General features: G+C 37.3%; 1 protein-coding gene across 10 annotated transcripts in view; it reads left to right on the top strand.

Annotated features, from left to right (window-relative positions):
- TMCO5A (transmembrane and coiled-coil domains 5A) overlaps window positions 1–19635 on the top strand; it is a 106226-nt gene that overhangs the window by 13719 nt on the left and 72872 nt on the right. For 3 of the 10 annotated variants that reach the window (NR_163584.1, NM_152453.4, NM_001370735.1), the window contains exon 12: window positions 2678–3064. The exons of 4 other annotated variants lie outside the window; for them this stretch is intronic. Coding sequence is in view for 4 of the 6 variants with exons in the window: in NM_152453.4 (NP_689666.2) it covers window positions 2678–2876 (199 nt within the window). In the remaining 2 variants the exon portion in view is untranslated. Of the gene's footprint in view, window positions 1–2677; window positions 3065–18266; window positions 19389–19635 lie in introns of those variants that run through there. 3 more of the 10 variants (NR_163585.1, NM_001330255.2, NM_001370736.1) reach the window with 3 other exon arrangements.

A 19635-nucleotide genomic window follows, 5' to 3' on the forward strand; every position in this document is an offset into this window, starting at 1 on the left:
ATGAAATATGATTTAGAGAGAGTTCCATCAAAATGTTTAACATAAAATTATTGGTGGTTAAAGGTCAGCTCCAATTGTCTAGAAAATTTGCTTAAGTAGAATACCCCTTCATACCAGATAAATGAAATATTACATCTTTCAATATTCCTGAATACAATATTCCTAAAACAACTAGCAGAATTTTCTCTAGAACTCCTAGTTTGTTCTCTTATACTCCAACACAAGGGCCCACAATGGAATTGACTGTGTGGATTTCTAGAATAAGGACTGTCTGCCTAAAGAGACTTGGTATCCTGAAGGAAATCTTAGAAAAGAGATCCTGAAAGTCTAGCTAATCATGTCAAACTATAAATGTCTTTCCTCTCATTCTGCTTCAACATCTTGTGGGGCACTGGTACACTGGGCACTAACTCAAGAGACAAGAAAGCTAGGCTACTCCTAGGATTTTCCCTGGGAATGCAATCCCAGAACCTTCTCATGCGTATTGGCTGAAATTTCATGGAGAGTGGTGGGAAGATGTGTCAAGGGCTTCTGATTCTAATTTTGACCAAGGTGTTGTACTGAAATGAGTGCTGGCTCCTGTCACCAAGATCAACCATAGCAGCAAACTTGAGAAAAGTAGAGGGAAAGGGGCTGTTTTTGACCTTTAAGGGTGAATAGTGAATTTGTCCTGGGGCAGAGGCATCCCAAAACAGCTGGGTAAGAATAATACAGGAAAGAAATGGGGAAGGTTTCCTCATGCAATTCATATTAAAGCCATAAGGCCTAAATAACTCATCAGTTGAAAGAAAAAAAAATCAAGACCACCATAAGAAGGTTTATAAAAAATTATTACAAAATGTTACAGATAACATGAATGAAAGAAAATAACATAATCATGGATAGAAACTCATATCAAAAAAGTAAGAATTGCCTCCAAATGATTAATAAATTCAACTCAATTTCAATCAAACTCTCCAAATGGTTTTTCATGGAATTGAATAAAATAATTCTAAAATATACTCTATATGGAAGAATAAAGGGTCAAGAATAACCTGGACAGTTTTAAAGAGCACGGAGTGGGGAACATGCCCTTCCAGATATCAGGACTTACTATGACGCTATAGTAATTATTATAGTGTGGTATTGGGACTGGAATAGGAAAACTGCCTAGTGGAATGGAAGAAAGAGTTCAGAAATTGTGCACATAGCAAACTTTGGTATGTGACAGTGATTGCATGTCAAAGGAAAAGGCAGAACGAACTGTTCAATAAGAACAGCAGGGAAAAAAATGGTTATCTGTATGAGATTGGATCACTAAATACAGTATATACAAAAGGCAAGCCCAGATGTGTTAAAGATGTAAATGCTAAAAAAAAAAAATAAAAATCTTCAAAACTCTGTATTATTTTCTATGCTACATAATAAATTACCCCCAAAACTTAGTGACTTCAAAGAACAAACATTTATTAGCACAGTTTCTGTGGGCCAAGTGGTACTAGCCAAGTGGTTCTAGCTAGTATCTGTCAGGAAGTTGCAGTTAGGATGTTGACCAAAATTGCAGTCATTAAAAGGTTTGGCTGGAGCTAGAAGTTATATTTCCAAGGTAACTAACTCACACATCTGGCAAGCTTTTTCTGGTAGTTGACAAAGTCTCAGTTCCTCACTGCATAGACCCTTCCATAAGGCCGCTTGAGTGTCCTCACAACATGACTGCTGTCTTCCTCCAAAGGGTGTGCAGGAAACTGCAATACCTTTATGGTGTAATCTAGGAAGCTGCACTACATACTGTGACTTTCACCATATTCCATTCTTTAGAAGTAAGTTATTAAATCCAGCCCAAACTCCAATGGAGGGGAATACTCTTGAAAGGAGGAGTAACAAAGAATCTGTAGACATATTTTTAAACTAACATAGACTTTTAATAGAAAATATAAGTATATTTCAGGTCTTGGGATAGGGAATTTTTTTAAAAAGGACACAGAAAGCATCGATCCTAATTAAAGAAAAGATGGACAAACTAGACCCTATTAAAATCGAGAATTTTTTTCTTTAACATCTTAGAGCAAGTGAAAGTTATGAAGTTGGGAGGATACATAACAATACACATAATGGAAAAGGATTGATATCAAGAACATGAAACAAACTCTTACAAATCAATAAGAAAAGCTAAAACTACCTTGTAGATAAATGGGCAAGAAGAAACACATAAAACCAATAAACCTATAACAGATGTTCGCATCATTGTTCATCAGGGAAATGCATATTGAAGCCATAATGAGAGATTATTTTACATCCATTTGATTAGCAAAAGTGTTTAAATCTGATAATATCAAGTGTTGGAGAGGATATGGGTCCACAGAAACTTATACCTTGCTAGAGGGTTATAAGCCAATGAAACTGTTTTGAAAAACAACTTGCCAAAACAAAACCAAAAATAAACAAAACAAAAAATCAGAGAACAAAATTATTTTAGTGACAAATGCTACCCAGAAAATAAAACACGGTAATGGACAGAGAATAACCAATAGGACAGAATATGGGAGGGGGAGCTGCCATTATAAAAGGTTGTCAGGAAAGGGGGTGATAATCCATTTGAATATCAATTAGGAGCCAGATATGCATTCAGGTATGATTTATTTTTTGTTCCAAGTTTTCTAAGCTTCTGGTTAACAGTTTCATGGCATTCTCTTTTTAGGATTTTTTGCTGTCTCTTTTTCATCACCCTATTTTTCATCAGACTGCTGAGCTACATGTTTTTTCATGTAAGATTCATAAATCCAGATCTCCTCGTCAATGTACTGCCCAAGGTACTGGGCAGGAGCACCTTGTGGAAGCTCAGATGCTTCTTCTTTCCATCTCTCACACTTGAGACAGAGGACATGTTACCCCACTGATTCCCTAAGAAATATCCTTGAGCAATAGAAGGGAAGTGGGATCCGAGCCTGTAGAAGGGAGGCATGAAACTTGTGGAGGAAAGAGATTTGCTTCAGTTTTTTCCTCACCGTTTGCCTGCTTGACTACCTTCTGTCACCACGTCATCTTTCCAGGATTAACCTTGACCAGTAAAAAGCTCTGTAATAGATTTATGTGGCTCTGTGGATCGGCTGAATAGTACTTGATAGTAAACAAATTTGACCATTTGGGGAATTATATAGATGCTAAGAAAAGTTAATTGATAAATTATTCTAGTGAATCTCAAAAATCTGACACACTGGATTCCTGAAATACAGAAGATTACTTACTGCTTATATTAGAACTCATAGGTTATAAGTGACCTTAGCTTAAGATAATTTATAGCAAATACATAAGTATTTATACTTACATATTTAAATATAAAATAAAAAGTCTGTGAATAAATAAGCCAGGCAAGAAATCAGAAGACTCCACCAATTATCCCCCTTCAAGGACACCAATTTAACAACTATCTAAACAAAGAAAGCACCTTTTTAAGAATCAAAAATCAGGAGAGCACTCAGAGTCTGTAGTTTTAACTTCATATTGCTGAGACACGGAAGAGATAGGAAAAACAGTCTGGAATCACCAACACCCCCCCTTTCCCATCCTCCAGCAGCAAGGGTGTGGTGTGGAGAGCATTTCTGTGTGGTGAGGAGAGAAAGACTGCAGCATTTGTGAGACATTGAACTCAGTGCTTCCCCATTATAACAGAAAACAAAACCAGACCAAACTCACCTGACACCTGCCCACAGAGGGCTAATTTAAACCAGCCCTAGCTAGAGGAGAATTGCTGATCCCAGCTGTCGGAATTTAAGTTTCTGCAAGCCTTGCCGCTGCCAAGCTAAAGTACTCTGGAGGCTTATATAAACTTGAAATTCCTAGGTGAGTCCTAGTGCTGCACTAGGCCCAGACACAGTGGACTTGGCAGGGAGTGGGGGTGGTCACAGAGTGGCTAAGGGAGTGCTGGAATCACCCCTCCCCTAATCCCAGGCAGCACAGCTCATGGCTCCAAAAGAGACCGTTTCCGACTGCTCAAGGAGGACTCAAGTTGGGAAGACTTTGTCTTGCATCTTGAATAGCAGCTCAGCCACAGGAAGATAGGGCACCAGTCAGAGTCATGAGGCCCCCTTTCCAGGCCCTAGCTCCCAGATGACATTTCTAGACACACCCTGGGCCAGAAGGGAGCCTGCTACTTTGAAGAGGACTCAGTCCTGGAAGGACACATCACCTGCTAACTGAAAAGCCTCTGGGCCCTAAATAACCAGCAGCGATACTTAAGTACTATGTGGAGGGCTTTAGGTGAGACCCTGAGAATTTCTGGCTTCAGGTGAGACTCAGCATAGTCCCAGCTATTGTGGCTATGGGTCAAGATTCCTTCTACTTGAGAAAAACAGAGGAAAAAGCAAAGTGGACTTTGTCTTCCAGCTTGGTCACAGTGAGGTAGAGCACAGAGTGAGCCCTTGGGTTCCCAATTTCAGGACTTGGCTCTTGGAATACATTTCTGGAACTGCCCTAGGCAAGAGGGGATCCCACTGCCCTGAAGGGCAAGTCCCAGGCCAGGCAGCATTCACTACAAGCTAACTGAAGAGCCTTGGGGCCTTCTTTAAGGAAACATTAGTGGTAGTCCGGCAGTACTCCCCATAGGCCTATGGTGGCAGTGGCCATGGTGGGAGGCATCTCTGCTTTTGGAAAGGGGAGGGAAGAATGGGAAGAACTGAGTCTTTTGGTTTGAATGCTACCTTATCTGCAGTACAGTACAATATCAGATGGACTTCTAAAGCTCTTGACTCTAGACCCTGGCCCCTGAAAGCACCTCTGGACATGCACAGGGCCAGGGGTAACTCACCACCCTGAAGGGAAGGACACAAGCCTGGTTGCTTTGCCACCTGCTGATTGTAGAGCCCCCAGGGCCTTGAGTGAACATAGACCATAGCCAGGTAGTGACTACAGCAGGACTCGGGTAAGACCCAGTGCTGTGCTGGCTTCAGGTCTAACGGTTCAGCACAGTCCTAGTGGTTTTGGCCACAGAGGTACTTGTGTTACACCACCCAGAGCTCCAGGTGACTCAGAAAAGAGAGAGATGCCATTCATTTGGGGGGAAGTAAGGAAAGAGAATACGAACCTTTGCCTGATAATCCAAAGAATTCTTCCAGATTTTGCTTAAAACCATCAAGGTGGTACCTCTACAAGTTGGCAAGAACCACAGTATTACTGGGCTTAGGGTGGCCCCTAAAGCAGATATGGCTTAGATCACAACATCAAAGTCCTTTTGAATATCTGGAAGGCCTTCCCAAGTAGAATGGGTACAAACGAGCCCAGATTGAGAAGACTACAATAAATGCCTAACTCTTCAATGCCCCAGCACCAAACATCTACAGGCATCAAAAACATCCAGGAAAACATGACCTCACCAAACTAAAGTAAGGCACCAGGGACCAATCCTGGAGAAACAGAGATATGTGACCTTTCAGGAAGAAATTTAAAATACCTGTTTTGAAGAAACTCAAATTCAAGATAACACAGAGAAGAAACTCAGAATTCTATCAGAAAAATTTAACAAAGAGATTAAAATAATTTAAAAGAATCAAGCAGAAACTCTGGAGTTAAAATGCATTTAGCATAATGAAGAATACACCAGAGTCTTTTAATAGCAGAATTGATCAAGCAGAAGAAAGAATTAGTGAGCTTAAAGACAGGCTAATTGAAAATACACAGTCAGAGGACATAAAAGGAAAAAAATAAAATAAAAAACAAAGCACACCTACAGGATCTAGAAAGTAACCTCAAAAGAAAAAATCTAAGAGTTACTGGCCTTAAAGGGGAGATAAACAGATAGGCATAGAAAGTTTATTCAAAGGAATAACAACAAAGAACTTCCCAAACTTAGAGAAAAATATCAATATCCAAATATAGAACACCTACAGATTTAACCCGAAGAAGACTATGTCAAGGCATTTAATAATCAAATTCCCAAAGGTCAAGGATAGAGAAAGGATCACAAATGCAGCAAGAGAAAAGAAAAAAATAATGTACAATGGAGCTGTAATATATCTGGCAGCAGACATTTCAATGAAAATCTTACAGACCAGGGGAGACTGCCATGATATATTTGAAATGCTAGATGAAATAAACATTTATCCTGCAATAGTATTCTGGTGAAAATGTCCTTCAAACATGAAGGAGAAATACAGGCTTTCTAGACAAACAAAATCTGAGGGACTTCATCAACACCACACCTAGTCTACAAGAAATGCTAAAGGGAGTACATTAGTCAGAAAGAAAAGGACATTAATGAGCAATAAGAAATTATCTGAAGGTACAAAACTACTGCTAATAGTAAGTACACAGAAAAACACAACATTATAACATTGTAACTGTGGTATGTATACTACCTTAAGTAGGAAAACTAAACAATGAACCAATCAAAAATAATAACTATAACAACTTTTCAAAACATAGACAGTATAATAAAATATAAATAGAAACAACAAGAAGTTAAAAAGTGGGGGTACAAAGTTAAGAAACAGAGCCTTTGATTTCTTTTTTCATGTTTGTTTATTCAAGTAATGTTAAGTTGTTATTAGCTTAAAATAATGGGTTATAAGATAGTATTTGCTAACCTCATGGTAATCTCAAAAAACATACAATGAATACACAAAAAAATGCAAAAGAAAAACTAAATTATATCACCAGACAGAATCACCTTTACTAGAAGGAAGACAGGAAGAAAAGAAAGAAGGAAGAGAAGACCACAAAACAACAAGGAAACAACAAAATGGCAGAAGTAATTTTTTACTTATCAACAATAACATTGAATGTAAGTGGACTAAACTCTCCAATCAAAGGACATAGACTGGCTGAATGAATTTACAAACAGGACCCAAGGATCTGTTGCCTAAAAGAAACACACTTCAGGCAAGAATAACTATTCTTATATAAGACAAAATAGATTTAAAGAGTAAAAAAAAAAAAAAAAAAAACTTAACAAGATTGAACCATGAAGAAATCCAAACCTGAAAAGACCAATAACAAGTAATGAGATCAAAGCTGTAATAAATAGTCTCCCAGTAACGAAAAGCTCAGGACCTGATGACTTCACTCCTGAATTCTACCAAACATTTAAAGATGAACCACAGGGGTTGCAATCCTAGTCTCTGATAAAACAAACTTTAAACTGTTACAAATATCAAAAGAGACAAAGAAGGGCATCACATAATGGTAAAGGGATCAATGCAACATGAAAAGCTAAATATCCTAAATATATATGCACCCAATACAGGAGCACCCAGATTCATAAAGCAAGTTCTCAGAGACCTACAAAGAGACTTAAACTCCCACACAATAATAGTGGAAGACTTTAACATCCCACTGTCAATATTAGATGGATCAACAAGGCAGAAAATTAACAAGAATATCCAGGACTTGAACTCAGCTCTGGACCAAGCAGATCTAATAGACATCTACAGAAGTCTCCACCCCAAATCAACAGAATATACATTCTTCTCAGCACCACACTGCACTTATTCCAAAATTGACCACATAATTGGAAGTAAAACACTCCTCAGCATATGCAAAAGAATGGAAATCATAACAAACAGCCTCTCAGACCACAGTGCAATCAAATTAGAACTCAGGATTAAGAAAGTCACTCAAAGCCACACAACTACACGGAAACTAAACAACCTGCTCCTGAATGACTACTGGGTAAATAACGAAATGAAGGTAGAAATAAACAAGTTCTTTGAAACCAATGAGAACAAAGACGCAATCTACCAGAATCTCAGGGACACATTTAAAGCAATGTGTAGAGGGAAATTTACAGCACTAAATGCCCACAAGAGAAAGGAGGAAAGATCTAAAATCAACACCCTAACATCACAATTAAAAGAACTAGAGAAGCAAGAACAAACAAATTCAAAAGCTAGCAGAAGGCAAGAAATAACTAAGAACAGAACAGAACTGAAGGAGATAGAGACACAAAAAACCCTTCAAAAAATCAGTGAATCCAGGAGGTGGTTTTTTGAAACGATCAACAAAATAGATAGACCACTAGCCAGACTAATAAAGAAGAAAACAGAGAATCAAATAGACGCAATAAAAATCATAAAGGGGATATCACCACTGATCCCACAGAAATATAAACTACATCAAAGAATACTATAAACACCTCTATGCAAATAAACTAGAAAATCTAGAAGAAATGGATAAGTTCCTGGATACATACACCCTCCCAAGACTAAACCAGGATGAAGTTGAATCCCTGAATAAACCAATAACAAGTTCTGAAATTGAGACAGCAATTAATAGCATACCAACCAAAAAAGTCCAGGACCAGATGGATTCCCAGCCAAATTCTACCAGAGGTACAAAGAGTAGCTGGCACCATTCCTTCTGAAACTATTCCAAACAATAGAAAAAGAGGGAATCCTCCCTAACTCATTTTATGAAGCCAGCATTATCCTGATACCAAAACCTAGCAAAGACACAACAAAATAAGAAAATTTCAGGCCAGTATCCCTAATGAACATCGATTTGAAAATCCACAATAAAATACTGGCAAACCAAATCCAGCAGCATATCAAAAAGCTTGTCCACTACGATCAAGTTGGCTTCATCCCTGGGATGCAAGGCTGGTTCAACGGATGCCAATCAATAAACTTAATCCATCACATAAACAGAACCAATGACAAAAACCATATGATTATCTCAACAGATGCAGAAAAGGTTTTCGACAAAATTCAACAGCCCTTCATGCTAAAAACTCTCAATAAACTAGGTATTGATGGAACATTTCTCAAAATAATGAGAGCTATTTATGACAAACCCACAGCCAATATCATACTGAATGGGCAAAAACTGGAGGCATTCCCTTTGAATACCGGCACAAGACAAGGCTGCCCTCTCTCACCACTCCTATTCAACATAGTATTGGAAGTTCTGGCCAGGGCAATCAAGCAAGAGAAAGAAATAAAAGGTATTCAATTCCAAAAAGAGGAAGTCAAATTGTCTGTGTTTGCACATGACATGATTGTATATTTAGAAAACCCCATTGTCTCAGCCCCAAATCTCCTTAAGCTGATAAGCAACTTCAGCAAAGTCTCAGGATACAAAATCAATGTGCAAAAATCACAAGCATTCCTGTACACCAATAATAGACAAAGAGAGCCAAATCATGAGTGAACTCCCATTCACAATTGCTACAAAGAGAATTAATATACCTAGGAATACAACTTACAAGGGATGTGAAGGAACTCTTCAAGGAGAACTACAAACCACTCCTCAAGGAAATAAGAGAGGATACAAACAAATGGAAAAACATTCCATGCTCATGGATAGGAATAATCAATGTCGTGAAAATGGCCATACTTCCCAAAGTAATTTACAGATTCAGTGCTATCCCTATCAAGCTACCACTGACTTTATTCAAAGAATCAGAAAAAACTACTTTAAATTTCATATGGAACCAAAAAAGAGCCCATATAGCCAAGACAATCCTAAGCAAAAAGAACAAAGCTGGAGGCATTGTACTACCTGACTTCAAACTATACTACAAGGCTACAGTAACCAAAACAGCATGGTACTGGTACCAAAACAGATATATAGACTAATGGAACAGAACAGAGGCCTCAGAAATAATGCCACACATCTACAACAATTGATCTTTGACAAACCTGACAAAAACAAGCAATGGGGAAAGGATTCCCTATTTAATAAATGGTGTTGGGAAAACTGGCTAGCCATATGTAGAAAGCTGAAACTGGATCCCTTCCTTACACCTTATACAAAAATTAACTCAAGATGGATTAAAGACTTAAACGTAAGACCTAAAACCATAAAAACCCTAGAAGAAAACCTAGGCAATACCATTTAGGACATAGGCATGAGCAAATACTTCATGACTAAAACACCAAAAGCAAAGGCAACAAAAACCAAAATAGGTAAATGGGATATATTTAAACTAAAGAGCTACTGCACAGCAAAAGAAACTATCATCAGAGTGAACAGGCAACCTACAGAATGGGAGAAAATTTTTGCAATCTATCTATCTGACAAAGGGCTAATATCCAGAATCTACAAAGAACTTAAACAATTTACAAGAAAAACAAACAAACAACTCCACCAAATAGTGGGCAAAGGATATGGACAGACACTTTCCAAAAGAAGACATTTATGCAGCCAACAAACATGAAAAAAAGCTAATCATCACTGGTCATTAGAGAAATGCAAATCAAAACCACAATGAGATACCATCTCACATCAAAACCACAATGAGATACCATCTCACACCAGTTAGAATGGCGATCATTAAAAAGTCAGGAAACAACAGATGCTGGGGAGAATGTGGAGAAATAGGAACGCTTTTACACTGTTGGTGGGAGTGTAAATTATTTCAACCATTGTGGGAGATCATGTGGCATTTCCTCAAGGATCTAGAACTAGAAATACCATTTTACCCAGCAATTCCATTACTGGGTATATACCCAATGGACTATAAATCATTCTACTAAAAAGACACATGCACACGTATGTTTACTGTGGCACTGTTCACAATAGCAAAGACTTGGAACCAACCCAAATGCTCATCAATGATACACTGGATAAAGAAAATGTGGCACATATACACCATGGACTACTATGCAGCCATAAAAAAGGATGAGTTCATGTACTTTGCAGGGCCATGGATGAAGCTGGAAACCATCATTCTCAGCAAACTAACACAGGAACAGAACACCAAACACCATATGTTCTCACTCATAAGTGGGAGTTGAACAAGAGAACACATGGACACAGAGGGGAACATCACACACTGGGGCCTGTCAGGGGGTGGGGGGTTAGGGGAGGGATAGCATTAGGAGAAATACCTAATGTAGATTATGGGTTGATGGGTGCAGCAAACCACCATGGCACGTGTATACGTATGTAATAAACCTGCACATTCTGCACATGTACCCCAGAATTTAAAGTATAATTAAAAAATAAATAAAGATGAACTAATACCAATCCTATTCAAACTATTCCAAAACACAGGAGAGGAGGGAATACTTCCAAACTCATTCTGTAAGGTCAATATTACCCTGACACCAAAACCAGACAAAGACACGTCAAAAAAGAAAACTACAGGCCAAAATATCTGATGAATATTGGTGCAAAATCCTCCACAAAATACTAGCAAACCAAATTCAACAATACATTAAAAAGATCATATATCATGACCTGGGATGCAGGGATAGTTCGACATACACAAATCAATCAATGTGATTCATTATATCAACAGAATGAAGGAAAAAACCCTATGTTCATTTCAATTGATGCTGAAAAAGCAATTGATATAATTCAACAATGCTTCATGATAAAAGCCCTCAAAGAACTGGAGATAGAAAGAACATAGCTCAACGTAATAAAAGCCATATATGACAGACCCACAGCTAGTATCATACTGAATAAGGAAAAACTGAAAGCCTTTCCTCTAATATCTGGAACATGTCCACTTTCATGACTGTTATTCAGTATAGTACTGGACATCCTAGCTAGAGCAATCAGAAAAGAGAAATAAAGAAAGAACATCCAAATTGGAAAGAAAGAAGTCAAATTCTGCTTGTTTTCAGATGATATTATATTTGGGAAAAAAATTAAAGAATCCACCAAAAAAAACTATTTAGAACTGATGAACAAATTCAGTAAAGTTGCAGGATACAAAATCAACATACAAAAATCAGTAACTTTTTTTATAAGTTATTGGGGTACAGTTGGTATTTGGTCACATGAGTAAGTTCTTTAGTGGTGATTTGTGAGATTCTGGTGCACCCATCACCCCAGCAGTATACACTGCACTACATTTGCAGTCTTTTTTAAAATATTTTTTTCCCTACATTTTTGTCCCTCACCCCCTACCACTCTTCCCCACAAGTCCCCAAAGTCCATTGTATCATTCTTATGCCTTTGCGTCCTCATAGCTTAGCTCCCACATATCAGTAATAACATATGATGTTTGGTTTTCCATTCCTGAGTTACTTCACTTAGAATAATGGCCTCCAATCTCATCCAGGTTGCTGCAAATGCCATTATTTCATTTCTTTTTATGGCTGAGTAGTATTCCATCATATAAATATACCACAATTTTTTTATCCATTAGTTGATTGATGGGCATTTGGGTTGGTTCCATGATTTTGCAATTGCAAATTGTGCTGCTATAAACATGAGTGTGCAAATATCTTTTTTGTATGATGACTTCTCCTCCTGGTAGATATCCAGTAGTGGAATTGCTGGATCAAATGGTAGTTCTACTTTTAGTTGTTTAAAGAATCTCCACACTGTTTTCCATAGTGTTTGTACTAGTTTACATTCCAACCAGCAGTGTAGAAGTGTTCCCTCTTCACCACATCCACGTCAACATCTACTGGTTTTTGATTTTTTGATTATGGCCATTCTTGCAAGAGGAAGGTGGTATCACATTGTGGTTTTGATTTGCATTTCCTTGATCATTAGTGATACTGAGCATTTTTTCATATGTTTGTTGGTCATTTGTATATCTTCTTTTGAGAATTGTCTATTCATGCCCTTAGGCTAATTTTTAATGGGATTGTTTGGTTTTTCTTGCTGACTTGTTTGAGTTTGTTCTAGATTCTGAATATAGATTCTGAATAGTCCCTTGTCAGATGTGTAGATTGCGAAGATTTTCTGCCACTCTGTGGACTGTCTGTTTACTCTGCTGACTATTCCTTTTGCCATACAAAAGCTCTTTAGTTTAATTAAGTCCCAACTATTTATCTTTGTTTTTATTGCATTTGCTTTTGGGTTCTTGGTCAGGAAATCCTTGCCTAAGCCAATGCCTAAAAGGGGTTTTCCAATGTTTTCTTCTAGAATTTTTATAGTTTCAGGTCTTAGATTTAAGTCCTTAATCCATCTCGAGTTGATTTTTGTATAAGGCAAGAGATGAGGATCCAGTTTCATTCTCCTACATGTGGCTATCCAATTATCCCAGCACTATTTGTTGAAAAAGGTGTCCTTTCCCCATATTACGTTTTTGTTTGCTTTGTCGAATATCAGTTGGCTATAAGTATTTGGGTTTATTTCTGAGTTCTCTATTCTGTTCCATTGGTCTATGTGCCTATTTTTATACCAGTACCATGCTGTTTTGGTGACTATGGCCTTATAGATTTGTTTGAAGTCAGGTAGTGTCATGCCTCCAGATTTGTTCTTTTTGCTTAGTCTTGCTTTGGCTATGCGGGCTCCTTTTTTGTTTTATATCAATTTTAGATTTTTTTTCTATTTCTGTGAAGAATGATGGTATTTTGATGGGGATTGCATTCAATTTGTAGATTGCTTTTGGCAGTATGTCATTTTCACAATATTGATTCTACCCATCCGTGAGCATGGGATGTGTTTCCATTTGTTTGTCATCTATGATTTCTTTCAGCAGTGTTTTTCAGTTTTTCTTGTAGAGGTCTTTCACCTCCTTGTTTAGGTAAATTCTTGAATATTTTATTTTATTTTTGAGCTACTGTAAAAGGGGTTGAATTCTTGATTTCATTCTCCACTTGGTCACTCACTGTTGGTATATAGAAGAGCTACTGATTTGTGTACATTAATCTTGTATCCGGAAACTTTGCTGAATTCTTCTATCAGTTCTAGGAGCCTTCTGGAGGAGTCTTTAGGGTTTTCAAGGTAAACAATCATATCATCAGCAAACAGTGACAGTTTGACTTCCTCTTTACCTATTTGGGTGCCCTTTATTTTTTTCTCTTGTCTGATTGCTCTGGCTAAGACTTACAGTACTATGTTGAAGAGGAGTAGTGAGAGTGGGCATCCTTCTCTTATTCCAGTTCTCAGAGGGAATGCTTTCAACTTTTCCCCATTCAGCATTATATTGGCTGGTGATTTGTCATAGATGGCTTTTATTACATTGAGGTATCTCCCTTGTATGCCAATTTTGCTGAGGGTTTTAATCATAAAGCGATGCTGTATTTTGTCAAACGCTTTTTCTTCATCTATTGAGATGATCATGTGATTTTGGTTTTAATTCTGTTTATGTGGCATATAACCTTTATTGACTTGTGTATATTAAACCATCTCTGCATCCCTGGTATGAAACCCACTTGATCATGATGGATTATCTTTTTGATATGTTGTTGGATTCAGTTAGCTAGTATTTTGTTAAGGATTTTAGTATCTATCTTCATCAAGGATATCAATCTGTAGTTTTCTTTTTTGGTTGTGTCCTTTCCTGGTTTTGGTATTAGGGTGATGCTGGCTTCACAGAATGAATTGGGGGATGGGGGTTCCCTCTTTATCTTGTGGAATAGTGTCAAAATGGTTGGTACCAATTCTTCTTTGAATGTCTTGTAGAATTCTTCTGTGAATCCATCTGGTCCTGGACTTTTTTGTGTGTTGGTAATTTTCAAATTGCCATTTCTATCTCACTGCTTGTTATTGGTCTGTTCAGTGTATCTAATTCTTCCCAGTTTAAGCTAGGAGGGTTGTATCTTTCCAGGAATTTATCGGTCTCTTCTAGATTTTATCGTTTATATGTGTAAAGGTGTTCATAATAACCTTGAATAATCTTTTGTATTTCTGTGGTGTCAGTTGTAATATCTCCTGTTTCATTTCTTAATGAGATTATTTGGATTTTCTCTCTTGTTTTCTTTATTTATATTGCTAATGAGCTATCAATTTTATCTCTCTTTTCAAAGAACCAGCTTTTTGTTTCATTTATCTTTTGTATTTCTTTTGTTGTTGTTGTTTGTTTCAATTACATTTAGTTCTGCTCTGATCTTTGTTATTTCCTTTCTTCTGCTGGGTTTGGTGTGGTTTGTTCTTGTTTCTGTAGTTCCTTGAGGTGTGACCTTCGAATGTCAGCTTGTGCTCTTTCAGTCTTTTTGATGTAGGTGTTCAGGGCTATAAACTTTCCTCTTAGCACCACCTTTGCTGTATCTCAGATGTTTTGACAGGTTGTGTCATTATTGTCCTTCAGTTAGAAGAATTTTTTAATTTCCATCTTCATTTCATTTTTGACCCAATGCTCATTCAGGAGCAGGTTATATTATGTCCGTGTATTTGCATGGTTTTGAAGGTTCCTTTTGGTGTTGATTTCCAGTTTTATTCCACTGTGGTCTGAGAGAGTGCTTGATATAATTTCAATTTTCTTAAATTTATTGAGACTTGTTTTATGGCCTATCATATGGTATATCTTGGAGAAAGTTCCATGTGCTGTTGAATAGAATGTGTATTGTGCAGTTGTTGGATAAAATGTTCTGTATGTATCTGTTAAGTCCATTTGTTCCAAGATATAGTTTAAATCCATCGTTTCTTTGTTCACTTTCTGTGTGATGACCGATCTACTGCTGTCAGTGGAGTATTGAAGTCCCCCACTATTATCATGTTGCTGTCTATCTCATTTCTTAAGTCTATTAGTAATTGTTTTATAAATTATGGAGCTCCAATGTTAGGTGCATATATGTTTAGGATTGTGATATTTTCCTGTTGGACAAGGCCTTTCGCCATTATACAATGTCCCTCTTTCTCTTTTTTAACTGCTGTTGCTTTAAAGTTTGTTTTGTCTGATATAAGAATAGCTACCTCTTCCTTGAATATTTCTCCCTTCACTTCTTGTTTCATTTTTTGGATTTCCTTGCATTGGGCTTTGCCTTTCTCTGGTGCCTCCCTGATTAACTTAATAATTAACCTCCTGAATTCTTTTTCAGGTAAATCAGAGATTTTTTTTCTTGGTTTGAATCAACTGCTGTTGAACTAGTGTGATTTTGGGGGGTGTTAAAGAGCCTTGTTTTGTCGTATTACCAGAGTTGGTTTTCTGGTTCCTTCTCATTTGGGTAGGCCCTGTTAGAGGGAAGGTCTAGGACTCAAGGCTGTTGTACAGATTCTTTTGTCCCATGGGGTGTTCCCTTGATGTAATACTCTCTCCCTTTTCCTAAGAATGTGGATTCCTGTGAGCAGAACTGCAGTGATTGTTGCCTCTCTTCTGGGTTTAGCCACCCAGCAAATCTACCAGGTGCCAGGCTGGTACCAGGGGTTGTCTGCACAGAGTCCTGTCATATGAACTGTCTATGGGTCTTTCAGCCATGGATACCAACACAGTATTTGGGGTGTCTTCCGGGTCCTGCAGGAGTAGTCCACTTCCTTCAGAGGATCTGTAGGTCCTCTCAGAATTGCTGTTTTTTTTTCTTGAAGTTGATCTGGAGCTAAAATTCACAATGCGAGCCTCTGCATGCTTCTCTCCCTGTCTGAGTTGGAGTTGCAATCTAGTCCTGCCTCCCATCCACCATGATGACCTGTCCCCACTTTGTGAAAATCAGTAGTGTTTCTATATGCCAACAGTGAACAATCTGAAAAAAAATAAAAATAATTCCACTTATCATAGCCACAAATAAAATTAAATATCTAGGAATTAACCAAAGAAGTGAAAGAACTTTATAATGAAAAATGTAAAACACTGATGAAAGAAATTGAAGAGGACACCAAAAAATGGAAAGTTATTCCAAGTTCATGGATTGGAAGAATTAATATTGTTAAAATATCCATACTACCCAAAGCAATCTACAGATTTAGTGCAATTTTTATCAAAATACCAACGACATTCTTCACATAAATTTAAAAAAACTATTCTAAAATTTATAGGGAGCCACTGAAGACCCAGAATAGCCAAAACTATCCTAAGGAAAAAGAATAAAACAGGAGGAATCACATTACTTGACTTCAAATTATACTACAGAGCTATAGTGACCAAAGCAGCACGGTACTGGCATAAAAACAGACACATATACCAATGGAACATAATAGAGAACCCAGAAACAAATATGCACACCTAAAGTGAACTCATTGTTGACAAAAGTGCCAAGAACAAACACGGCCGAAAGACAGTCTCTTCAATAAACGGTGCTGAGAAAACTGGATATCCATATGCAGAAAAATGAAACGAAATCCCTGTCTCTCACCATATACAAAAATCAAATCAAAATGGATTGAAGTCTTAAATCTAAGACCTCAGCCTATGAAACTAGCACAAGAAAACATCAGAGAAACTCTCCAGTACATTGGTCTGAGCAAAAATTTCTTAAGTAATACAAGCACAGGCAACCAAGACAAAAGTGGACAAATGGGTTCTCATCAAGCTATAAAGCTTCTGCACAGCAAATGAAACAATCAACAAAGTGAAGAGACACTTCACAGAATAGGGGAAAATATTTGCAAACTACTCTTCGGACAAGGGATTAATAACCAGGGTATATAAGGAGCTCAAACAACTTTATAGGAAATAAGTCTAATAATCTGATTTAGAATGGGCAAAAGATTTGAACAGACATTTCTCAAAAGAATACATACAAATGGCAAACAGGCATGTGAAAGGTACTTGACATCATTGATCATCAGAGAAATGCAAATCAAAACTACAATGAGATATCATCTCACCCCAGTTAAAATGGCTTTATCCAAAAAGGCAATAACAAATACTGGCAAAGATATAGAGAAAAGGGAACACTCATACATTGTTAGTGGGAATGTAAGTTAGTACAACCACTATGGAGAACAGTTTGGAGGTTCCTCAAAAAACTAAAAATAGAGCTACCATATGATCCAGCAATCCCACTGCTGGGTATATACTCAAAACAAAGGAAATCAGTACATTGAAGAGCTATCTACACTTTCATGTTCATTGCAGCACTGTTCACAATAGCCAAAATTTGGAATCAACCTAAGTGCCCATCAACAGATGAATGAATAAAGAAAATATGGTACATCTACACAATAGAGTGCTATTCAGCCATAAAAAGAAAATGAGATTCCATCATTTGCATTGGAACTGGAGGCCATTATGCTAAATGAAATTACCCATGCACAGAAAGACACACATCACATGTTCTCATTTATTTGTGAAACCTAAAAATCAATACAGTTGAACTCATGAAGATAGAGAGTAGAATAATGGTTACCAGAGGTTGTGAAGGATGATGGCAGGGAGGTGAGAATGCTTAGTGGTTTTTTTTTTTAAGTAAGACCTAGTATTTGATAGCAAAACAGGGTGACTATCATCGATAACAATTTAATTATACATTTTTGAATAACTAAGTATAATTGGTTTGTAAATACAATGGATAAATGCTTGAGGAGATGGGTACATCATTTTACATGATGTGATGATTACTCATCGCATGCCTGTTTCAAAACATCTCATATACCCCATAAATATACACACCTACTATGTACCCACAAAATTTTTTTCAGTGCGTGAATAGACTTGGGGCTTTAGGCAAGGCTACAGCAAGAAACCTCAAAACAATGTCTTGGGACATCATTTCTTTTTCTTCTCTCTTCAGATGGGCCTCCTCCTTTTAGTGGCAAGATGGCTGCCAACAATCCAGATCTCGTACTACCAGATTGGCAACCTTTGCAGAATAAAAGTCTTTTCCAACAGGTTCAGCAGTAAAGTCCAGAAAAGGTCATAAACTGGCCTATCTGAGGTCAATTGCCTACCCTGTCCCACAGTCAATGTGGCCAGAGGGATGGAGTACTCTGATTGGTCAAGCTTATGTCATATGTTCAGCCCCTTACTAAGGATTAAGAGCAGTCAAAGAAGAAGAACAAAGTAAGGGAATGACCTAAACTATATGAAATGCATTTCTCCCACTAAAAGGGGCTCAGTGCCTATGGAAGAGAAAAGGGATGCTGGACACGCAAAAGCAGAGGTCTACTTCATTGCTAAACTCTGTGTCTTCCTATAAGCAAAAATTATAACTTCTAAAGATAGTAGATTAAGACGGTGAAAGCTTCTACAAAGAGCTCAGTTTAAGAACCATGTAAATAATCAGGTCACTAGGGCTAAAGTAAGCAACAATTCTAAAATAAGTAGAATATGACTGGTATAAATTGCTTCACCAACTCAAAGTAGCATATATATCACACCTCTTATTTTTCCAATTAATTGCTGAAACATTCACATGCCTTACTAATAGGATATACTCTACATTATTTTCCAGTACAAGAGAAAATTATTTTAAATGGTAAGGTTTTAGGTCTAAAAGTGTCTCAATTTTAAGAAAGCTGATATCAAGCAGGTCATATTTTCTAGGCATTGTGCAATGACTATAGAAATTATGAAAATGTGTAACCAACCAGTAATATCTAGCCACAGGCAAATTTTATAAAAGATCCTTTTAATTAACTTCTGGATTAAATGGAAAATCCAAACTGAGATTACTTTTATAGGGTCAGTTACATGCTAAGGAGGAAGCATAGAGAGTAGAAGAATGGTTACCAGAGGCTGTAACCTTCTTAATTTAAGGTAAAAAATTCTACCTATTAGCTTAGTATTAGATGAAAACAGAAATTCTTGTCACATACAGGCACTATTCACTGCAGTGAAGTATATCTTTTCAGAAAGTTGCATAAAATCGAATAAAATACCATGTATTAAATTAAAAAAACTGGATATATTTGAACTCCTTCTTGAAGTTATTCCTCGCTCCTAAATTGTCAGGAGCCTTTATAGCTCTCAAGTCCAAGGGCAGGGAGGGGTCATTCTAGCATTCACACCAGCCAGGAGCCAACCTGGGACTCCTTGGTCCACTGCCATTGCTTTGTGAGAACACATAATGTCACTGTTGAAAACTGATCCTACACAACGTGGTCAAGTAATTTATTGTACAAATTGAGACACTTGTGATAATAGAAAGGAATGCTGTTAAT

This window comes from Homo sapiens, chromosome 15, assembly GCF_000001405.40.
Source record: "Homo sapiens chromosome 15, GRCh38.p14 Primary Assembly".
NCBI lineage: Eukaryota > Metazoa > Chordata > Mammalia > Primates > Hominidae > Homo > Homo sapiens.